Source organism: Homo sapiens, chromosome 9, assembly GCF_000001405.40.
Source record: "Homo sapiens chromosome 9, GRCh38.p14 Primary Assembly".
Classification (NCBI taxonomy): domain Eukaryota; kingdom Metazoa; phylum Chordata; class Mammalia; order Primates; family Hominidae; genus Homo; species Homo sapiens.
The window spans coordinates 97,922,825-97,946,936 of NC_000009.12; the positions used below are offsets into that span (position 1 = coordinate 97,922,825).

Genomic DNA, 24,112 nt, shown 5'->3' on the forward strand with positions numbered 1-24,112 from the left:
ACATTATTAAGTAACCTATACGTCCAGTATGACCCTAATTTTTAAGGGATGTGTATATGTAATTAACACAGAGCGGAAGGACTGGACGTTAAGAAATGTTAAGAATTCTCAGGCACCTGTGGTCCCAGCTACCCAGGAGATTGAGGCGGGAGGATCGCTTGAGCCCAGGAGTTTGAGGCTGCAGTGAACCGTGATCGCGCCACTGCACTCCAGCCTGGGTGACAGAGCGAGACCTCGTATCAAAAAAAAAAAAAAAAAAAAAAAAAAAAAAAAAAAAAAAATTATCCCTGGGTGGTGGGAAATTTTTCCATAATATAAGTTATGCTTTGTCAGAAACAACCCCAAATAAGTCTTATTTCAAGTGTGGTGGATGTTATAAAGGAGCCCTACTATGTGCTAGGGGTTAAGGAGTGGGAACTGTTTCTTGTGCTCCACACCTTACCGGAACTGAAGTGAGAATGGAATTATAAGAGTCAACATGCCATGTGCATTGTGGGGATTATTGTCGTTTCTGGACAGCTCTGAGAAGCTAAGAGCTAACAAGAATCATTTAATCCCATGCAATGACCAGTTGTCCTTGCAATGATAGCCTATCTTTTACCCACTTGTAATGCTGTCTCTCACCTTTAGTAAGTTTCTCTGTATATAATTCTCTTTCTGGGAGAAATTTTAAAATCTTTTATCTTTTTATCTGTTAACATCTGCAGTATAAAATATTCAAAAGCATATGAGTCACAGATTGAAAAGTCTAACAACCATGAAAAGATGTTTCCATGTCTGTCCATTTGTCATTGATTTCTGGTAGAAAATAACCAGCAGGAGGAGCCAAATAATTAAAGATTGTGGTTTAAAAAATAAGATAAAACTGATCAAATTCATATAGTGTCTTTTGGCAGGTCATTTTTACAGGACAACTTGGAAAAGGCTGCCATTTTTTTTAGGAGGGACAGCTCTGTGCAGCTGGAGAAACAAGTTTGAAAATCATTGTTTTATATATATATAGCGCGCGCGCGTGTGTGTGTATGTGTGTGTTTATAAAACTGGGCCAGAATTACTGCGCTTGCCACTAGATGGTGGTGTTGCTAAAAATGATAGTCCCGCTTTATCTGTGGAAAGACTAGATTTAAAGAGATATTTGCCCTCCTGGAGGGCATGGTAGACGTTGTTAATCACACAAAAAAATATGTAATTACCAAGTGTGACAAGTACTGAAATGCAAAGCTGATTTGAATATACTAGGGAAATAGATTGCTACTTCTTTTATAGGTAAAATTTCTCTTGACTGAAAACGGGAACTTAAATATGCAGCACATTTTTTAGTCTATGATTTGAAGTTCTTATTATCTTGTCTGGAATTATATGTGATTATTTGCAGTTTATAAGACTTAACCTCTCCTCCAGATGTAAGACCTAGAAATCTGCCTTAAAGAAATGACCTAAATAATTATGTAGTCTTCAGCTTGTACTACTTTGAGAAACACTTCTCAGTAGAGTGATTCTTAACCTCTCATTTGGGTGAAGGACCCCTTTGAGAATCAACTAAAGCTTTGAACCGTCCCACACATCATTTTGGCTATAATATCATATGGTTCATGGGTTTCTAACCTAACATGAGAGGAGGGCAGCACAAAGTCAAGCTAGAAGGATTCTTGCAAAACTTTAATTCTGTCACCTAAAGGTTCTAAGCCAAGAAGAACGCCAGAAGAATTTTAGATGCACAGTGATGTTTAAACAAGAATGGTGAGAAAGCAGAAGTGGTGTGTGAATGCAGGGAGTGATGTAAGAGGGCAAGCAGAAAGGGTCCCGAGAGGTGGAGAGAGAAATTCTGCTTCCTCTAATGTACTGCATTCCTCTTTCCCTCTCCTTCCCCATCTCATCTTTGTGCTCCTGTGCACTGTACGTATGCAAATCTCTTAAGGTCCATCTTAATGCAACGCTGTTAGAACTTGAGACTTCAGTTTACTCTTTTTTTTCCTCTAATTTTGGCCCACTCTGGCAGGTGAAATTGAGACAGAAGCACATTCCAAAGAAGAAAAAAAAGCACTGAGGAAGTCAGATGTGACTTTGGGTGAGTACCTTCCCTCTATGTTATTCCCTCATCTTTAAGTGAGAGTGATAATCACCGCCTGGCCTATTTCACATACTTTTGTACAGATCAAATAAAATAGTTTATGTGAAAGTATAAATGTTGAAGTGTCATTGAGAGGTAAGAAACTATTATATGGTTGTGGCCGGGCGCGGTGGCTCACTCCTGTAATCCCAGCACTTTGGGAGGCCGAGGAGGATCACGAGGTCAGGAGATTGAGACCATCCTGGCTAACATGGTGAAACCCCGTCTACTAAAAATACAAAAAAAAAAAAAAAATAGCCAAGCGTGGTGGCGGGCGCCTGTAGTCCCAGCTAGTCGGGAGGCTGAGGCAGGAGAATGTCGTGAACCCAGGAGGCGGAGCTTGCAGTGAGCCGAGATGGTGCCACTGCACTCCAGCCTGGGCGACAGAGTGAGACTCCGTCTCAAAAAAAAAAAAAAAAAAAAGAGACGAAACTATTATGTGGTTGTGCTGCCCTGCCCTCAGTATGTTGTGTAATAAATATAATAGGGGTATGAATAATTGTGCAATGAATACATCCTGATGGTAAAAAATTTAATGTACACACAAAAGGGGGTAGGCAGATAGGAGGGAAACAATATTGTAACATCCCACTGTACTATTGGTTCTCAACCCTACCTCCACTTTAGGATTGTCAGGAGAGCTTTTAAAATAAAAACATCCTAAATGCAATTCTATATCCTGGATTGGACCCTGAAGCAGACAAAGCACATTAGTGGAAAAATTCATGAAAACGGAATAATGTCTGTAGTTAATGGTAGTGTAACTATCCTGATTTCTTAGTTTTGACAAATGGCCCATGGTTATGTAAGACGTTAACATTGGTGTAAACTGGGCGAAAGGTATATAGTAACTTTTGTACTATCATGACAACTTTTCTGTAATTCTAAAATTATTCCTCCAAAAACTATTATTTGAAGCATAAAACAATTAAAAAATAAATATACCTATGCCTGTACATCAGCTAGATGGGGGAATCTGAATCCCTGGGGGAGAAGTCTGGACATATATGTATTTTTGAAACCTTCCCAGGTGAGTCTAATGTACCAGAAGGGTTGAAAGAACCACTGCTCTCTCATGTTCATTATACCATGAATGCCTGAGGGACTGTGACCCTGTCTTGTTCTTTGATATAGCTAGTACCTAGCACAGTGTCTATATGGAAAGCTTGTGCAAGTGTGTTCTTGCTGAATGAAACTTTATTTGCAAAAATATCCTTAGTCCTCTGTAATAACAGAAGGAAAAGTGAAAACAAAAAATACCAGGGTAGATTTTCAGACATCTTCCCATCCAGAACAGCTTCTATTCCTGCCCCGGTCTCTTGTCGTTTTCAGTTAATCTTTACCATTATCACCATATTTACCATATTCCTAAAATAGTGAAATTGCCATTCCATTGTTCAAAAATCTGACTTCATTCCCCATTTTTAACAAGTGATATATTTCTTGGTTAGGTAAGCAAAATATTCTATGCTCTAGTAATATGAGCTTTTCAGCATGCAAGCCTACTACTATTTCATATGGACTCTACATTAACCATAGTTTGCCTGCAGTTCTCTTGAACATGTTTTGAACTCACCCTTCTCTTTGTCACATACAGTAATGCTGCTATCCTCATCTATGCAAATACTTTCCGTCTTTCAAGGCTTCATGCCTGTGTAATTTTTTCAGGTCACTCCAGCAAAAAGTGAGCATTCTCTGTTTGTATCTACCATTCAAATGGCACCAGCCCTTACTATTTTCTTTTGTGATTATTTGTTTTCTGTTTTATTTCCCCATGAAACCAAATTAACCCCACCGTGGGGTGTTAGATAGGTCTTCTAACCTCCGCAATTCTTAACATGATGGTATCCACACAGTTAAGCATGTAATAATGATTTAATGTACATTGTGCACAAATACAATATTTAAAAAATAAAAATAGAAAATCAAAATTCAAATACAAAAGTAAACTACATTCATCACTCCAAAATATCTTTTAAGGAGAATTGTTAAAACTGACCAAAAGAGTCAACTAAAGCCTGAATAAAATTTTGATGCTACTGTTACATTAATAATTGAACAGCATTTACAAGAAAACTATATACTCCACAAAATGTATGTGTTCAGTCTTAGTCACTTATCTGCTCTTAAGACGTAAATAAATGTTCTTAGGGGGGAAAACCAATTATCCAGTCCTCCCCGCTTCCTTATTTGTCTGTTCCCACCACTATCCTCTCCCCGACCTATACATACATACACACACACACACACACACACACACACACATTCTAGCATGATATTGTCTATGTGGTAGAGCCTTAAAAAATGTTATTTCTTTCAGATATGGTCTACAAATAGAAAAAATAATATTAATGAGCATTGTCAAAAGTTTTACAATATTTTGAGAAAATCACGCATAAACTATTAAGCTGTATGTTCCATTGGACCACAACTTTATGGTTGAGCATTGTTAAAACAAAACATAACTATAGACATCATTTTCTGGATGACTCTCATTCAGAATTGCTGGTATTCCTGGCTCTTCTTTGGGTTTTTCTTTCATTTCTGTAAAATCAAATAAAATAAAAAATAGATTCAATAAATTGTATTGGGACAATTGACTCTCCATTTGGAGGAAGAAAAACTGCTTTACAACATACACAACAACAAACCGTAGATGGGGTAAATTTTTAAATACCATAAAGTTATAGAAATAATAGTGTTTTTAGTAATCTTAGGATGCTAAGCAGAACACAGAGACCAGAAACCATAAAGGAAAAGACTAGCAAGTTCGAATACCTAAAAAGTAAAATTATATATGGTGAAAACCACTATAAACAAAGTTAAACCAAATCAAAGACAACTGGAAAAATATTTGCAACATATACATAGTAAAAACTATTATTTAAAGAGGTTTTTTAATCGGAAAAAAGAAATAAAAAATGTTGAATGGGATAAGGATTCAAACAGGCAATTCTTAAAAAATTATATTTATAATAATCCTGAAAAGATGTCTAGTAACATTAATTATAAAAGGGGGTGATTAAGACCATTAGGTGTGTTTTATTTTTTAACCTATCACTTCTCAGCCTTTTGGCTAAGATCAAGTGTATTTTTTTTTTTTTTTTTTTGAGCCGGAGTCTCGCTCTGTCGCCCAGGCTGGAGTGCAGTGGCGCGATCTCTGCTCACTGCAAGCTCCGCCTCCCGGGTTCACGCCATTCTCCTGCTTCAGCCTCCCGAGTAGCTGGGACTACAGGCGCCCGCCACCGCGCCCGGCTAATTTTTTGTAATTTTAGTAGAGACGGGGTTTCATCGTGTTAGCCAGAATGGTCTCGATCTCCTGACCTCGTGATCCGCCCACCTCGGCCTCCCAACGTGCTGGGATTACAGGCGTGAGCCACCGCGCCCGGCCGATCAAGTGTATTTTTTAACCTAGCAGACAGACAAGGATTTTTAAAATGTCATAATGTACAGTGCTGACAAGGGTGTGGGGAAAAGGCACCTGTCTCGTGTGAATTGCTACCACATTTCTGGAGGCTAGTCTGACTGACTGTATATTCAAACTTTAAATTTGGGTACCGTTTGGCCCAACAATTTGATTTCTAGGGGTTGATTCAAAGGAAATAATCAGACAAACTTCAGCCTCCAGTGCCTCCATTTCCTTATATTTAGAATGGGAGTATTATTTATCCAGTAGAGCTTTTAACATTGAATAAAATAAACCACATAAAATATTTAATATGGTGTCTGGCACATAGAAAAGTACCAGATAAATGTTAACTAAATAAATGTTATTCCCAATGATGTTCATTGAACATTGTTGTAATAGTAAAACTTGGCAGTAACCTAAGTGTTCATCCTTATAGAGACTGGTTGAATATACATATAGCACAGTACTATGCAGTTGTTACAAAAGACATCATAAAGATGGCTGCAATACATATTGTAAATGAAAACAAAAACAAGTTACAGGATAGGATGGGTACTGTCTCATTTGTTGAAACAAAACAACCTTAACATTGGGAACTGAAGATAGAAGATGGTATTATAGGGGACTTTTACTTTACTTGATATTCACTTACATATTGCTTTATTATAATGAACACTTACTACTTTTATAATCAGGAAAAATAGATATTCCCATTTATTTGGTCAAACAAAGCCAAAAATAAAATAAGCGTTAATTAATTGACCATATCGACCTTGCTGGGTTTAGAATGAAGCAGTTAGGAATCAGGACGCTGTGTTGGTTAGAGCTGCTTCTCCAGCAGGGTACTCCTGTCAGTGCACGTACTGCTTCACATGCCTGCTTTTGCTGCAATGTATTTCTTTAAAGTAGTTCTTCAAAACTGGTATTACTTGGAAACCAACTAGCACCATGTTTTTGTTGCACTCATCTTTTAGGATAAAGAGCAAGTAAACTACTAAAGGGATTTCTTTAGAAATCAGTTTCCTGGGGATAACTATGGTCTGATAGACTCAGTCCATTTCTTATACTGTCTACAGTATTGTACAAAGAGAGCTGAAGTTCTCAGTTATGTCTCTGAGGCAAGTGAAATTAAAGAAAGGTTGCATTATTTTCAAATTCCTATACTTAGGAAAAAGTTTTTCAGGAACAAATCTTGAAATAGAAAGGGTTTTTGGTAAACCTGATAAATCCTACAAGAATGAATTCCCTAGTAACAGGATTATATTTTACAGCTTTTATCTCCCTCAGTACTTCGTACTATGAATTTACCTGCTTTCCATTTATCAGGCAAATTAAATTTCCTAGAAAAACTTCATTCATCAAGCTTTCTTGTTAATGTAGACTTAATTTTTAAAAATATTTTGCAATAATTCATCCTATATTGGGTTCATTTCACTGACTATAGCATCTCATAATGGATGGATAGTATGAATAAGTACTTAATGTACATGCTTGCATTTTCAATTTTTTTAACTCTTTGAAATATGCCAAGACAGACGTTGGTTGCATGAAAATATTGTTCACTTAAAACTAGTCAATGAAATTCACAGTATCCATTGAAATAACAGGGAATACCCAGGATTGTCAGAGAAAGTTGTAAATCACTACTCTGGGGGAGATGTACCTACCTTGGTGCTATAAACAGCCCTTACCTTGAGGAAAAGTATAAGCATCTTTAGCATCTTCCTGGTGTGCTTTAGGATCCTGGCCTTGGGGCCCACCTGTTTCTTGGTGTGGTTCTGGAAAGCATTCTTTAGGCACATCCTTATTTTTATATGTCTCAGTAGAGAGGTCTTCAGGCCCCGGTGTTTCTTGGTATATTTCAGGTGAATATTCTTCAAGCTGGGATGTTTCTTGGTATATTTCAGGTGAATATTCTTCAAGCCCAGGTATTTCTTGATACGTTTCAGGTGAATATTTTTCAGACCCAGGAGTTTCTTGGTTTATTTCAATTGAATAGTCTTCAGAATGAGGTGTTTCTTGGATTGTTTTATGAGAGGGGGCTTTAGGCACAATAATTTCGTTACATGTTTTATGAGGAAGGTATTTAGGTTCAGCTGATTCTTGGTGTGTTTTTGTAGAAAGGTCTTTAGGCTCAGCTATTTCTTGTATTTTAGGAAAAAGGCCTTCTGTCTCAGCTATTCCTTGATCTGTTTCATTGTATTCCTCTGGTTCTGCTGGATTTTGGTCTGTGTCAAGAATATAGCCTTTAGGCACATCTGGTTTTGGATATGCTTGAAGAGAGCATCCTGCCAGATCAGCTGTGTCTTCAGATGTTGGACAAGGAAGGATTTTGGGTACAGCAGCTTCTTGGCACATTTTAGGAGCCAGATCTTCTCGTTTAGCCATATCTTGGTACATTTTGAAAGGATGGTCTTGAATTACAGATATTACTTGGCATGTGTTAGGAGAGTTGTCTTCAGGTTCCTTCATGTCTTGGCATATTTTGGAAGAATTGTCTTGAAGTACAGATATTTCTTGGTACATTTTAGGAGAGAGGTCTTCAGGTTCAGACACATGTTGGCATGTTTCAGAAGAATGGTTTTGTACTGCTATTTCTTGGTACTCAGAAAAATTCTCCTGATATATGTTACTTTCTTGACATATTTCAGAAAAGTGTTCCTCAGGCACAACTTTTTGCGGGGAGGCTACTGAAGGAAATACTTTGGTTATGCTCCCAGGTGGCTCAGTTTTTTTCTCTATAGGTGCCAGTGCTTTCTCCACTATTTCCTTTTCTATCTGTGGCTGAGGCTCCACCTTCAATTCTGTGTTTTGTTGTCTCTTTCTGCCTCTTCGATTTCCTTTTCCTGTTCTCTGCTGCTTGCGTTTTTTCTGTTCTCTGCAGAAAGAACAGAATTAGTGTCAGCAGTGGTACTACAGAATTCAAATAAATGCTTGTAATAACAGTGCCAGGTCCCCCACTGCCTCATTGCACAAGTATCATGAACTAGTCACTTAATCTCTCTGGGCCTCAATCTCCTTGTTTGTAAAATGAAGGAGCAGCTCTAGATGTTCTCAATTCTTAGGAGAGGGAATGTTTCTCCAGGACTTCGTGGCATTGATACCATGCTTACCAGGAGCCTTCTTGGTGAGGGTAGTGCATGCGCGTATGCGTGCGTGCGTGTGTTATAGCATATTCTTAAAGTTTTGTTATGGAAAATAAATAATTCTCATTACAAATTAATAGAGTGGCATTCTGGTTTATACACTAGTCTCTTTGCATTTAGTCTTTGTGTGTTACTTCCCTACCCCTGAGTAAACTCATACAAATCGAGTTTCTAGACCTGGCACAGCTCCTCGTCTGTGCAGCCTGCAGGTGGATGCTGTATATGGCTTGATTATCAAATACATTATTTTGTGTAAAGAATTCTAAGTTGCTACAGTATATATCAAATGAGGTATACTGTAAGGGGTCAAAAGCTGCAAAAGCACTTCTTGAAGTTAAGAAGTCAGGTAGATAGGCATGAGTGGCCATATTATACCTATTCCTAATTAATAAATTAAAGATCTAGAAGATGAAAGGATATGCATGGTAATTGCAGCCAGTGACAAATTGTTAGGCACTGCAAATACAACCAAATACAGATGGCTAATACAGATGGGCTGGGGGCTGGGGGCTGGGGGAAGTACTATAAATAAGCATTTCATCATTTTTCTAAATCTACTGAAATTCTGTTTCATGCTACCCGCTCCATGGAGCCTTCTCTAAGAGACTACAGGACTAAAATGCTCTCCCAGCTTAGCACTCCTATAGGACTTATTGGGTGTACCATGCTAAAGGCAAGGAATGTAGGCTGCCTCATACTGTAGTTATTTCTGAAGAAACTGTATTTCTTTTAGTAAACATTTTAGACAGTCTTTGGAGATAAAAACCAGTGTTTTTTACATCTTTATAGTGCCCATCGTTCCTTGCATATTTAAAAAAAGTATACCCTGTTCCATTTTTTGTGTATGTTTGAAATTTCCGTTGTAAAAAAGTGTTTTTAAAAGATTACCTCACCAAACACAGTTTGAAGTCAATACCAAAAAAGTATATATGTTCACTTCTAATATGAGGCTATAGAAAAAAAGAAAAAAAGGTATAGATGTAACAGAGCAGTCTAAAATAATATTGAAAATTATATTTAAAAAAGGAAATCTAGGCCGGGTGCGTTGGCTCACGCCTGTAATCCCAGCACTCTGGGAGGCCGAGGCTGGTGGATCACGAGATCAGGAGTTCAAGACCAGCCTGGCCAACATAGTGAAACCCCGTCTCTACTAAAAATACAAAAATTAGCCAGGCATGGTGGTGCGCGTCTGTAATCCCAGCTACTTGGGAGGCTGAGGCAAGAGAATCGCTTGAACCCAGGAGATGGAGGTTGCAGTGAGCTGAGATTGTGCCACTGCACTCCAGCCTGGGTGACAGAATGAGACTCTGTCTCAAAAAAAAAAAAAAAAAGGAAATCTAAAGATGATGGTTATGGCACCTCAGCATTTTGAACTATTACTACAAGTAACCAAGGTGACAAGATAAATCATAAAATTCTGATAAATTTTTTGAAAAAGATATTAATAGTAATCCAAGTTCCTTAGGAAACACATATTTTTTCCTAGATATTAAATCCTAAAGAAGTTGTTATTTAAATCTCTGTATGAGGAGATCTGAGTAATGTAATAGTCCATGTCTTCCCAGGTAGTTTTTCAAAAAATGCAAAAAATACCTATGTGGCCTAAACTTTAGTCTGTACTCTCTCATGGTTGTGGGCAAGTCACTTAACCTCTACATGCCTTGGTTTCCTTGTAAGTGAAATGAGGTAAATAATATCGGCCCAATTTCATGTGGTGGTTATAAGAATTATATATAATAACTTACATGAATGAATTATTCAAATATAAATTAGGACTCATATGAATACAGGAAACACTTATAGTGCTTGTATATGTCAGGCACCGTTTAAATAATTTAGTTATTTTGTTATCTCATATAATCTTCACATCAGTCTATGAAGTAGGTAGTTATTATTTTCATTTTGCAAATGACAAAACTGAAACACAGAGATGTTGAGTAACTTGCCCAACACTTGTATTTGATAATCAAGCCATATACATTATCCACCTGCAGGCTGCACAGATAAGGAGCCGTGCCTGGATTGCAGGTCTAGAAACCCTGAGTATGAGTTTACTCAGGGGTAGTGAAGTAATACACACAGACTAAATGCAAAGAGACTAGTATATAAACCAGAGTGCCAATCTATTCGTTTATAATGAGAATTATTTATTTTCCATAATATTTCCAAGGGCTCTGGCTACCAAGTAGGGGAGCCAGGCTACGAATCTAGTCATTCTGGCTTTAACAGCCAGGCTCATAACCATGCACTCTGCTGCCTCTCTCTGAAACTAATAAAGTTTCACTGTATGGTGTGTTGTAGTGAGAAAAGAGGGCACAGGCCTTAGCATTATAGAGATGTATCACCAGAGCAAGTCCAGCCAGCTGCCAAGAGGCTCACTAAGGTGTTATCCATTTGAGTGAATACCCTCAGCCCAGCAAGCCCAGAAACCTGATTCTGTTAGCACACTGAGACTACCTCCATTTATCAGGGGCAGAGCTCATCAAGCAGATTTAAGGAGACTGACATATAAACCTAAAGACCAATTTTTAAATGAACAGACATACAAAGTCACATAGTAGAAAATACCTGGACTGGCTGGGCACAGTGGCTCACGCCTGTAATCCCAGCACTTTGGGAGGCCAAGGTGGGCGAATCACTTGAAGCCAGGAGTTCCAGACCAGCCTGGCCATCATGGCGAAACCCCGTCTCTACTAAAAAATACAAAAACTAGCTGGGCGTGGTGGCCAGTGCCTGTATTCCCAGCTACTTGGGAGCTGAGGCAGGAGAGTCACTTGAACCTGGGAGGCAGAGGTTGCAGTGAGCCGAGATTGTGCCACTGCACTCCAGCCTGGGCAGCAGAGTGAGACTCTGTCTCAAAACGAGTGAATGAATGAATGAATGAGAGAAAGAGAAAAAAGAAAAGGAGAGGAGAGGGGAGGAGAGAGGAGGGGATGGGGGAGAGGAGGGGGAGGGGAGGGGAGGGGGGAGGGGAGGGGAGGAGAATACCTGGGTTCTGGGCTCCCAAACAAATGCACCGTCTCTGTAGATAAGTACTTGGGAAGCCAAGTAATGATTGGAAGATTGCTTAGTGGTATGGAATTTGGGAGCTAATTGGATAATCTTCAATAGACCTGCCACAGGACCCTAATACAAATATTTCTACTGTAAAATGATACACGTGTTCCTAAAAAAACCTCACTTTCTGCAAAATCATCCTCTATAAAGTTACAGTGGTTATGGAGGTGGGGCAAATAGGCTTGGGACAAATGATTCAAAACCCTTGCAACATTTTAACACTAACTAAAACAATAATTGGTACCAGGAGAGAGAACTTGGATGGTCTAGACAAGCAGTTTACTGTGGCTGGAGGCTGCCTCAGGGGATAGTAAATGCAAATATAGTGTAATTGCAGGCTTGAAGCTGCTGAGACCTGAGCTCTGAGCCAGCGGGGTTGCCGTTAAGTTGGGCACAGGAGGGAAGTGCAAGCTGCCACTTGATGGAGAGCTGCGCAAGGCTGGTGTTGTGCCTCTCTGAGGAGGGAACCCTGGATGCTGGCTGAAAAGAATCCTGCTTATACAACAGCCAAGCTGAAGGCTTTTTCTTTCCAGCTGAAAGCTTTAATTCTCTTCCCACTATTCTGCTTTCTTCTGACTAGGAAAAAATCATGAACCAACACAACCCCCACATTATACTGACATCATTCTCCTATTTATCAATCGTATGTGAACTTGGTGTTATAGAAACATCTGTTGTAGCAGAACAGACAGTGCTCAGTCCACAGCGGGGTTTGGGGATTGGAAAATGCCCTTTCTTAGGAAGAGTGCTTTGCTTAAATTAGTGGTTCTCAACTGGGGATGATTTTGCCTGTCTTCCCCCAACCCCACCCCAGAAGACTTTTGACAATGTTTGGAGACATTTTGTTGTCACAGCTGGGGTGGAAGGTGCTGTTGGCATCTAGAGGCCAGAAAATGCTACAAAACATCTGCAGTGCACAAGCCAGCCCCCCACACAACAGGAAGTTCTCCTGCCCCCAGTGTCAGCAGTGCCAAGGTGGAGACACTTTGGCTTAGATGGATGCTGCACTTTTGGCTCTTTGGGCTCCCCTTCCAAGCAAGCAAGTCCCCAGTTTCCACAATCATATTTGAAATGGATGCAATTAGATGTCGCCTAATTTACAGTCATGTTATTGTACCCCCTTCCTGCATTTACATACAGGTGAACATACAGGTTATCTAAACTCTTTGTCACTCATTTACAGCGAATGTTTTGGCTTATTCCATGGAGAGTTAATCACACTCATTCAGTAAAGATTTAGCTAATAGAAAGCTTGGCGAACAATCTTGGAGGCTTCTTCAATGATGTTTCCCACTCCCAACAGGATGCTTCTATGTTTATATTACCTAGGAGCTAAACGCCAGGCTTCTCTACAATATAATTCGGTTGCTCAGTGCTTTAATTAAAAGAGACCAGGGAAAAAATTCTGTTCCCACCATTTTACCAGCTGTGTGTGTGACTTTAGGCAAGAGGTGTAACTCACTGGAGGCTTAGTCTCTGTTTTTCTGTAAAATAGGGATAACCATGTCTGATTTACAGGATTGTTGGAAAGATAAAATACAGTGTGTAAAGTGCACAGCACTACTTTATGCATAACATCCTCAATAAATATATTAGTTCCCTTTCCCTTGTGATGCTACCATACCCAAATAGCCATTGTGATGTTTCCTTTTCATGCACTTCAGCTTTTCTTTTTCTAAGTAGTTCTCTGTTTCTCAAACTCCAGGTTCCAATGACTTCTGTAATAAAATGAAAGTGATTAGAAAAAGTGATGAACTGTGGTGTCTATCAGCAAAAGTCCTGTAGCCAAGTGGCAGAGTCTCTGTTCTAGGTTTTTCTCCTAGCTTTTTGAGGACAAGGACTGCATCTCATTTATCCTTGTATCTCCAGAGAAAGCCTGGAAGCAGACATTCAGCAAATGTTTTTGAATGAAAAGGTCAGAGACCTACTCCTACATAGTATTTGTACATAAGTGTGCTACCAACCTATTAATTTCTTCAAAGTAATTTTATATATTGTACAAATAATGAAAAAAGTAGCCATATTTTGCTGTCTTTAACATGATAACTTGTTTTCATTTTATTCCTCACTTCTATCCAGTCTTTATATTACACAAAGTTGTAAGAATAGCATACCACAATTTTAATCTTTTTATTAAGCTAGCGTTATATTAGAACTATTTTCCATGACGTAGTCTTCATAATGATAATTTTAATGACAATGTGATACATAGTCTAGTTGATGTACTCTCATTTACCCAATCATTCCTCTTGGATTGAGCATTTAGATTGTTGCTAGTTATCTTTGCCTTGTATATCAAATTATAATAAGCATATTCATTGCATATAGCTTTTCTTTGGTATTTTTTCCTTAGAACGGTGTTTTTTCAAGTTCTTTGGAAAATTAAGGGTTTGATCAAAAAAGTTTCTGCTGCTGTCTAAGGTTGAGAAAAATTGATGAGTCTTTGATGCAGAGCTTCCTAGAGCCTGTGAAGTGATACAAATCCACACTGGGACCTCTAAAGAATAGAGCATGCCCCTTGAACCATGGTGCCTCTTGTTCTTGGGATAAGGGTTCTTAATAGGAAAAATTATATCTTTATTTTTACCAACCTCTAATTAAAATTGACAGTTCCTTCAATTATGAATGTAGATAACAAACCACAGTAGTTTTGGCAGTATATGACTTTTTTTTCAACTTTTATTTTAAGTTCAGGGGTTCATGTGCAGGATATGCAGGTTTGTTACATAGGTATACATGTGCCATGGTGGTTTGCTGTGCAGATCATCCCATCACCTAGGTATTAAGCCCAGCATCTATTATCTATTCTTCCTGATGCTCTCCCTCCCCCTCAGCATATGACTTGGTCCCTATAAAGAAATCACATATTTTTTTATCACATTATAGTTGTTGCAGATACCTTAAAATATCACCTACTGGCTATGACTTATTTGACTTGATACTATTATTAGACCCACCACTGGATATTGTAATCTATAAATAATCATATATATTACTATATAATAATTTTTTATTTTGATATTTGTATCTTAATGTAATTATTCCCTTTCTAGTCTTATATATTTAATTTTATGCCTTTAAAAATTTTATTCAAAGAAGGAGTCTCTGGGTTCATCAGAATGCCAAAGAGATCCATGTAGCAAAAAAAATTTAAAACAATGTCTTAAGGTATCTCAAGGCCTAAGTTTCCACAAAACATTTTGAGAAATGTTGCTTTAGGATAGATCCAAGGACTGAGATTAGTGAGTCAAAAGAATAAGCAGTATTATAGCTCTCACCACTTATTGCCAGATCTCTTTCCAAACGTTAGACCAAATTTGTGCTGCCATAGAAATGTATGAATCCACTTGTTTTACCACAGCCATCGAATGAAATTATTGGATGAACTAGTCTCATTAGCTTTCATTTATTTCCTTTTTTTTTTTTTTTGGCCAGATCCATTGAAAAGAGAAAATTATCATACCCCGAATTCTTCTCAACAGCCACCAGCTCTTAAGGTATTTTTCATTACCTGGAGAATGGTTCTCTTCTTGATGAGGGTCAGGTGTCTGATGGTGCTTCAAATGAGATTGGTCCTTTCCCAAATCCATCTTGCTGCAATACCTTCCTGCTATTTTGGTCTGACTTCCACAAGCAGCCTAGATGCTTTTTTAAAATATCAAAAACATCTAACACTTAAAAAAAAAAACCACACACACAAGTTTGCCTGTCACTTGACTTCCCGCCTAAAAGTTTTATCTGGTTGGACCACAACTGCAGGCTAATTCTACTATCTTTATCACACTGCACAGGTGTGAGTAGGGGAAATGGCTGGTGCTAGCAACCCCTAGCATAGGTTGCTATTTATACAGGGAAACTCTCTGACCACAGCCTGGCATGGCACAGCCTCTAGTCAGCACTCTTTTGGTTCTATCTGCCAGGAAGTGTCTGGATCCGATGTTCCTTTTTACAGATGGAGGTAGCCTAGTGTAGAAAGAACACAATCTAGGCCCCAACCAGCTCAGTGGCCCAGGGCAAGTCACCTCCCTTTTCTATGACTCTCTGCATTTGCAAAATGGGTAAATAATTCCTGTCTTGCCTACTTCATACGGTTCTTGTGAAAGTGAAAATAATAGATATAAAAGTTTCTAGAAAGTGTGATATATATTAATCTTACATGGTTTCCTGTATGTAGCTTTTTTCACCTTAATCTGTTGCAAAATAATGTACAGTTTTGCTGTGTATGCTGTTAGACTTAGTTAAGAAATAGACATAAAGAACCAAATTAGAATTTCACAGCAATTTTGTACCCTTTTTGGCTCACCAAATCATTCGCAAGTGACTCAAGATAACTAGTGAAATCCATTGTTACTCATATAGGGGAAGGTGAAAAATTACTTCTTAATGAAAATATCACCACATTATATCCCAGAAATTAAGTTGAAATAATCAAAGGAACCATCCTATCTCCAAGCAGTAACCCCATTTGTGAAGACAAGGAGCCACAGACTACTATGGTTCAACTAAAGAAGAAACCCTGAGCACCTCCTGATACAGGAAGCCAGTCTGGGAGATGCAGGATTAATATATGTGTTCTGGATTCAGATTGAATTGAAGTGAGTTTGAATTCCAGTGTTGACATTCCCTAATTCAGTGACCTGAGGCAGGTTAGATAGCCTTGGAGTCAATTTACCTATCTATAACATGGGGACAATATTGGTATCTACCTCAGAAAGTTACTGGGATGATTAAGTCCAGTAATCCATATGAGGCATTTTATGTGTGCCTAGCATATTGAACTTGGTCAGTAAATGTTAGCTACCAATAAAAATACAGTAACCAGATTTTGGTAAAGCAAGTCATAGTTTAAATGCACTAAAGAGAGAATCTGAAGAGGATTCTTTATAAAGAAAGACCTTTGTAATGTGAATAGATACCCACTACTTCCATGGAGTCTTAAGGCATTAGAACTGGAAGAGCCCAAAATCATCTAGTCCCTGCCTATTTTGTATACAAAGAAACTGAGAACCGAGGAGGAGAGTTACCTATACTTAGTATTTTATTACTTATTGCCAGCAGCATCTCTTACAGATTAGGAGATGGGTCATCATTTTGTGTGCTTGATCTTTCCTGGGTATAAAAATGTGTGTATCATGTAAATATATTAGAGAAACAAGCTGTCAAACACACTAAAGGGTATCGAGAATGATATAACAAACACCCAAGTATCTGCCACTAAAATTTAACTTGGTTTTTAATTACTAAACCCTAATATTTAGCTTTACCTCTCTCAGTTCCCCAGTCCTTCTCTTAAGTAAATCTCTGTATCTAAAAGTTCAGGTAACTTCAGGGAGCCCCTGCTCAAAGGAATCCTGCACGGAACAGCAGGCATTATTTGCTTGAAAATTTTGGATTTTCAGATATGGGGTTTAAATAACTCAAACTAACTTTAAAAATTACAAAATAGTGTTTTTTTAAATATTGGTCCCTTTAGTTGATATGTTTTAATTCTTATTAGTTAGGTTGTTTCTTACATTAGGATAGTTTAATAAAATAACATTATAGAATCCCTCTGGGACACCTTCAGTGGATGCAGAGGTACTTCTTGAATAAAATTGTCCTTACTAAGAGCTTGTAACACCCAGTTCAACAATTCAGCAAATTTTACTTAATGCCCCCTCTTGTGCTGTAGAGACGGATGGTGCAGTTCCTGAGCCCTGTGCCCTGTAGGCTCATAGAGGAGAAAGTGTGTACATCTGTATTGCAAGGAAATAATAGATTCTTTATATCCTGCTACAACCTACCTAAGTCAATTCCACCCCTGCCCCATGTTCCCTGTATCTAGAAGCAGAGTGTGGAGGGACTGTAAGAGGGTGGGGTTTCAAGTTAACAGTAAATTGAAGGTAATATTGGGTGGAGGAGGCCAGTGGAGAGACACTTTGGAGCAAACTAGATTGGAAGTCAGGCAAGGTGTCTCTGGCATGATAAACAGGCCAGAGTGGGAATTTGAGACAGAAGTAGCCTACAGTAAGTTTACAAGCCACAGTTCATGGTCCCTTCTCTCTGTAGAAAATTCTAGTTAGAAATTTAGTTAGAATTCTCTAACTAGAATTTCCAGAATGTGTGTTAGGCATTAAAGTCCACATATTTTTTGACAAATGCTGCCTTGTTCTAGAGTTATTTGCATATATACATAAACCTCTCTCTAGGCCACAAACCCTTAGAGAGCAGATACAGCTCCTGATTCACTTTTCTGTCTCCACAGTATGATCCGGTGGGAGGCTTGGCTCACTGTAGTCCCCATAATCGCCCTCACTCCCTGCTTCATGAACATGCAGCCTGGGACAGTAATTTATACACTCAGGGCTTGATGCTGCTGTGACTTAATAATAGCAATATCATCATCTGTGTCAGAGCTCTTTCTACTGTCATTCATTCTGTGCCCAGCGCAGTCCTATGTGTTAGAGATAGAGTAATTGAACAGCAAAGTCCCTGCCTTTATGAAACCTACATTTTAATGGGGAGAGATAAACAATAAGGAAATAAATAAAATATATAATGTGTCAGATGGTGATAAGTGCTTTGGAGAAAACTGAGCTGGGCATAATAGGATAAGAAAAAGGAGGTTGATGGTGGCTGCTATTTTAAATAGTGTGGTCAGAGAAGGCTTGACTGATAGGGTGACAGGTGAACAGAACTGATGGAGGTGAGAGGCCAGATATGCCATGCTGATATCTGGGAGGGCATTCCAGGTATAGGGGCACCAGCAAATGGCCCAAGGAGGGGAGTGTTAAGGAGGTGGGATCAGAGAAGAAGCCTATTATTGCCCCTTGTAGGATTTCTACTCTGAGTGAGATGGGTAGTCATGGCATGGTTTTGGACAGAGGAGTGATACGATCTGACTTACATGTTTAAAGAATTATTCTGGCTACTATGTGGGACAGGGGCAGAGGAAGCAAGAAGAACAATCAGAATGGTATTGCAATGATCCAGATGAGAGATAATTAAGGTTTGGATGATGGCAGTGGTGAAGCCATGGTCAGATTCTGGATTAACTTATAACTTGAATATGGGGTGAGACATAAAGAATCAAGATAAAGATTTGTTGTGAACAACTGGAAGGATGGAGTTAGCATTCACAGATCAGGAAGATTGGGAGAAGCAGGCTTGGAGGAGATGATCAAGAGTTTCATTTTGGATGTGCTAACAGGTTAGGGAGAAAACAGCAAAGGAGCAGCCAGTGAGGCAGAGGAAAACTGGAAAAATATAGTGTCTCGGAAGCCAAGAGGAAAGACTGTTTCAAGGAGGAGAGACTAATCCACTGTGTCAAACTTTGCTAAAGTAGAGGAAGGATTGAGAATTGTCCTAACAATTGATTTCCTAACAATTCAATTCATTTAAATTAATTATAGATTATGGAGGTGAAGTAACTTGGCCAAGGGCATGCAGATGAAACCAGCTATATAATTTTTGGGGGACCCATGGCAAAATGAAGACAGAGGGCTTCTCCTTCAAAAATTGCTAAGAATTTCAAGATGGCTATAGCAGAAAATTAAACCTAGCAAGTGTTTCACAAGTGTTTCATTGGATCCTTGAAGCAGACTTATAACATAGCTATTATTGTCCTCATTTTTCTGATGAAGAAACTGGTGCTCAGTGCATTGAGTGATATAACTAAGATCACAGAGTGAGACTGGTAGTTCGCACCAGAAGCTGGGCCTTCAGCCTCCAATTCCCTCTAATTCCTTCTTTTTTTTTTTTTTTTTTTTGTTTTTGAGATGGGGTCTCACTCTGTTGCCCAGGCTGGAGTGCAGTGGCACAATCACAGTTCACTGCAGCCTCTACCTCCCTGGGCTCAGGTGATCCTCCCACCTCAGCCTCCCAAGTAGCTGGGACTACAGGCATACACCACCATGCCTGGCTAATTTTTTGTATTTTTTTTGTAGAGATAGGGTTTTGACACATTGCCCAGGCTGGTCTTGAATTCCTGGGCTCAAGCAATACCCCTGCCTTTGCGTGCCAAAGTGCTAGGATTACAGGCATGAGCTACCAAGCCCAGCCTGGCCCTCTTCCTACTAGAACAAACTAGGTATTGAGGGAGAGAGTTGCTTTCCTGCTTCCTGACCATCTGGAGCAGGTGTAAGTATTGAGAATTTGGTCATACATTTCAGAGGCCTGACTGAACTGGGCAAATGAAGGAGGGAGGAAACACATTGCTGAAACTTCTGCCCTAGGGCCCTTTAAGATGGGGGTGAAAAGGGAGCACAGGAAAAAATAGCTCAGGCCATGTACTGGATACTGTTTAGTCAAAAACAAGACGGGGTAAAAGTGCCCCAAAGCTAACGCCATTTAAGGCTATATTGATAAAAATTATAGCGCCTCCAAAACCAGAGAGATGAGAGCCCTGGTACACTTTGGTTTGTCATGCCATAGTCAGAGAGCCATACTGTGAAGACCATATTATATGAAAGCATACACTGAAAAGAATGAGGGGTACAGGGCTCTATCATTTTCCTGGCTGGGTAACTTGGGGAAAATCACTTAATTCTTTCTGATCCTCAGTTTCTTCCCTTGTAAAATAGAGAAAGGTAATACCTCATGGGGATTCTGTGAGGATAAAAGAGATCATGGGAGCTTTTTATAAAATGAAAAACACGGCAGATATAAGTCCCATCAACCCGGACAGTGTTGATAGTGATATTAGAGTGTTCTAATGATGCACCTGGGCAATTTCCTAAAATACATTTGGGTGGAAAAGTCATGGAAGGGAACACAATGGACACTTGTTTTTCTTAGCATTCCTTCCTTGCTGACATACTTTTTCAAAGCTTTTAAATACTTTTCAAAGACTGGATCAAGCTTTGCTTTCCTAAGTGGAGAAGGAGAAGGACAGTTTCTTGTTCCCCTCTCTCTCAGTCTGTTGATGCATGATAAATGACTTCTGTCTGCTAAAACAGATGCTGCTGTACACATATAGATAACATGTTCTATAACTTAGAATGGCTGTAGCCTGCCTTTCAATCTAGTTTGTCCCAAAGTCCCTCCTCTGGAATCCTCCCACAAATGCTCCTTCTGTTAGAGTATAGACAAACATCTCTGAATAAACACTGATGAGTGGTCATTTATCTGGGGAAGAGCAATTCTGGTCCCACCTTGAGCCTCCCCCTTATCCCTGTCCTTTCATTTCTGAACTTCTTGAACTAGTAATATATTCTCAGTGTCTCCTTTTCCCCCTACACCATTTCATTGCTTTGCATATGTAATCTAGCTTTTTCTTTCACTCATTCTCTCATAAATCATCAATGATTTCCTAATGGCCAAATCCAGTGGTCCATTCTCAGTTCTTCTTTTTTGACCTCTCTGCAGCTTATAATTCCTCTGAGTACTCCTATCCTCCATGAAATTTGCTCCACTTTTGGCCTCTCTGATGGTGTGGAGCCTCTCTGATGGTGTGGTGTTCTCACCTCTCTCTCCCTTCTCCTCCTCCTTGCTCACAGGCTTCTCTTTCACTCCCCTAGGTATGGGAGGTGTTTTCCAAGAGTCCCTGATCCTTTTGAGTTAATACTCTTACCCAAAGACAGTTGATCCAACTATATACTTTTAGCTACTACCTCTTTGCAGATGTCTTCTAAATAAATATGTCTGAGTTCTAAGATCACATTTCCAAGTGTTTCTTGGTTATCACTTATTAGCTGGATGTCCCACTGCACCTCAAACTTAGCATAACTAAAAGCAAATATATGTTCCCCCCTAAAACTAGGCTCCCTGTGCTTTATTTCTGTTAGAATAGTAGTACCATGCCTGGCCATCTAGTTCTTAGCCTTCAGAAGTCTCTTTGACTCTGCCTCTTCACTTTGTCTCTCACATTCAGCTAGATACAGTTCTGCCAGTTCTTTCTTCCCAGTGTCCCACATGCTCATTCCATCTTTTCCTGTCCTATACCACCATCCCAGAGAGGGGCCTCAACTTCTCATTGGAAGCATTGGAAAAGCTCCCTAAGTGGCTATCTGCTTTCATCTGCCCTCACCCTCCCAAGTCCATCCTGCACAAACATCCAGAATATTCCTGCTACAGCTGGCTCTGAACCAGTCACTTCCATGTTTAGAATCCTGTAAAGCCTCAGTATTGCCTGCAGAATAAAGACTAAATTTCCCAGTCTGGCATTTAAGTCTAACTTCCCAATGTTCTTTCCCATTACTTTCCTGGAACTACCCAATGTTTCCATTAAATAGTACCACTTGCCTTCCCTGTTTTGCCGTGAATCTTTCTAACACCCACAGTACCTATCTTCATAACTTCTGGTTGTTCAGTCTTCTGTCATATGTCTGCCGATCCAGATAGTGAGTGCCTTAATCACAAAGCCTTTGATGATGATGATGATGACAACGATGACAATGATATGATGAGACTTTAGTCACTCTACAAACTCATAATGGGTAGCTGACACTTTATATGCAGTATCTCATTTCATTTTTCCAACTAATAGTATCCCCATTTCACTGATAACAAAACCATGGTTTAAAGAGGTTATATCCCTAGATCACATAAACTCATGAGTGGCAGAATTAGGGCTCAAAACTAAGGCTGTCCGACTGTAAAGTTTAGGGATTTAACCATTCTGTTCTATTCCCTTTAATTGCCTAGATGTGGTCTCTCCTTTCTGAGCTATAACCATGCTTGATTTTAGCCTCTTTTGTAGTGAATGTTACATAACTTTTTTGCACATCTTTATATATATATATATATATATATATATATACATCTTACCATACATATATATACATATATATATATATATATACATCTTACCATACATATATATACATATATATATAAATACTTTAAGTTCTAGGGTACATGTGCACAACGTGCAGGTTTGTTACATAGGTATACATGTGATATGTTGGTTTGCTTCACCCATTAACTCGTCATTTACATTGGGTATTTCTCCTAATGCTATCCCTCCCCCTGCCCCCCACCCCCAGACAGGCCCCAGTGTGTGATGTTCCCCTCCTTGTGTCCAAGTGTTCTCATTGTTCAATTCCCACCTATGAGTGAGAACATGCAGTGTCTGGTTTTCTGTCCTTGTGATAGTGTGCTCAGAATGATGGTTTCCAGCTTCATCCACTTCCCTGCAAAGGACGTGAACTCATCCTTTTTTATGGCTGCATAGTATTCCATGGCATATATGTGCCACATTTTCTTAATCCAATCTATCATTGATGGACATTTCAGTTGGTTCGAAGTCTCTGCTATGGTGAATAGTACTGCAATAAACATATGTGTGCATGTTTCTTTATAGTTGCATGATTTATAATCCTTTGGGTATATACCCAGTAATGGGATCACTGGGTCAAATGGTATTTTTAGTTCTAGATCCTTGAGGAATCACCACACTGTCTTCCACAATCGAACTAATTTACATTCCCACCAACAGTGTAAAAGCATTCCTATTTCTCCACATCCTCTCTAGCATCTGTTGTTTCCTGACTTTTTAATGATCGCCATTCTAACTGGTGTGAGATGGTATCTCACTGTGGTTTTGATTTGCATTTCTCTGATGACCAGTGATGATGAGCATTTTTTCATGTGTCTGTTGGCTGCATAAATGTCTTCTTTTGAGAAGTGTCTGTTCATATCCTTTGCCCACTTTTTGATGGGGTTGTTTGTTTTTTTCTTGAAAATTTGTTTAAGTTCTTTGTAGATTCTGGATATTAGCCCTTTGTCAGATGGGTAGACTGCAAAAATTTTCTCCCATTCTGTAGGTTCCCTGTTCACTCTGATGGTAGTTGTGCTGTGCAGAAGCTCTTTAGTTTGATTAGATTGCATTTGTCTATTTTGGCTTTTGTTGCCATTGCTTTTGGTGTTTTAGTTATGAAGTCCTTGCCCATGCCTATCTCCTGAATGGTATTGCCTAGGTTTTCTTCTAGGTTTTCTATGGTTTCAGATCTAACATTTAAGTCTTTAATCCATCTTGAATTAATTTTTGTATAAGATGTAAGGAAGGGATCCAGTTTCAGCTTTCTACATATGGCTATCCAGTTTTTCCAACACCATTTATTAAATAGGGAATCCTTTCCCCATTTCTTGTTTTTGTCAGGTTTGTCAAAGATCAGATGGTTGTAGATGTGTGGTGTTATTTCTGAGGCCTCTGTTCTGTTCCATTGGTCTATATCTCTGTTTTGGTACCAGTACCATGCTGTTTTGGCTACTGTAGCCTTGTGGTATAGTTTGAAGTCAGGTAGCGTGATATCTCCAGCTTTGTTCTTTTTGCTTAGGATTGTCTTGGCAATGCGGGCTCTTTTTTGGTTCCATATGAACTTTAAAGTAGTTTTTTTCCAATTCTGTGAAGAAAGTCATTGGTAGCTTGATGGGGATGGCATTGAATCTATAAATTACCTTGGGCAGTAT

The 24,112-nt window shown here is 39.0% G+C and overlaps 1 protein-coding gene across 2 annotated transcripts; it reads right to left on the bottom strand.

Moving 5' to 3' along the window:
- Nucleotides 1–3,966: 3,966 nt before the first annotated feature.
- On the bottom strand, nucleotides 3,967–22,028 carry HEMGN (hemogen). Of its 2 annotated transcripts, NM_018437.5 has the most exons (5): nucleotides 21,944–22,028; nucleotides 15,234–15,367; nucleotides 13,347–13,440; nucleotides 7,211–8,397; nucleotides 3,967–4,654 (listed from the first exon to the last, which is right to left on the bottom strand). In NM_018437.5, exons 2-5 carry the CDS (start codon nucleotides 15,310–15,312, stop codon nucleotides 4,560–4,562), a joined length of 1,455 nt encoding a protein of 484 aa, NP_060907.2. In that variant the 5' UTR covers nucleotides 15,313–15,367; nucleotides 21,944–22,028; the 3' UTR covers nucleotides 3,967–4,559. The 2 variants fall into 2 exon arrangements, with proteins under 2 accessions (NP_060907.2, NP_932095.1); NM_197978.3 differs by lacking the exon at nucleotides 21,944–22,028 and having other exon boundaries at nucleotides 15,234–15,348.
- Between the last annotated feature and the right edge of the window lie 2,084 nt (nucleotides 22,029–24,112).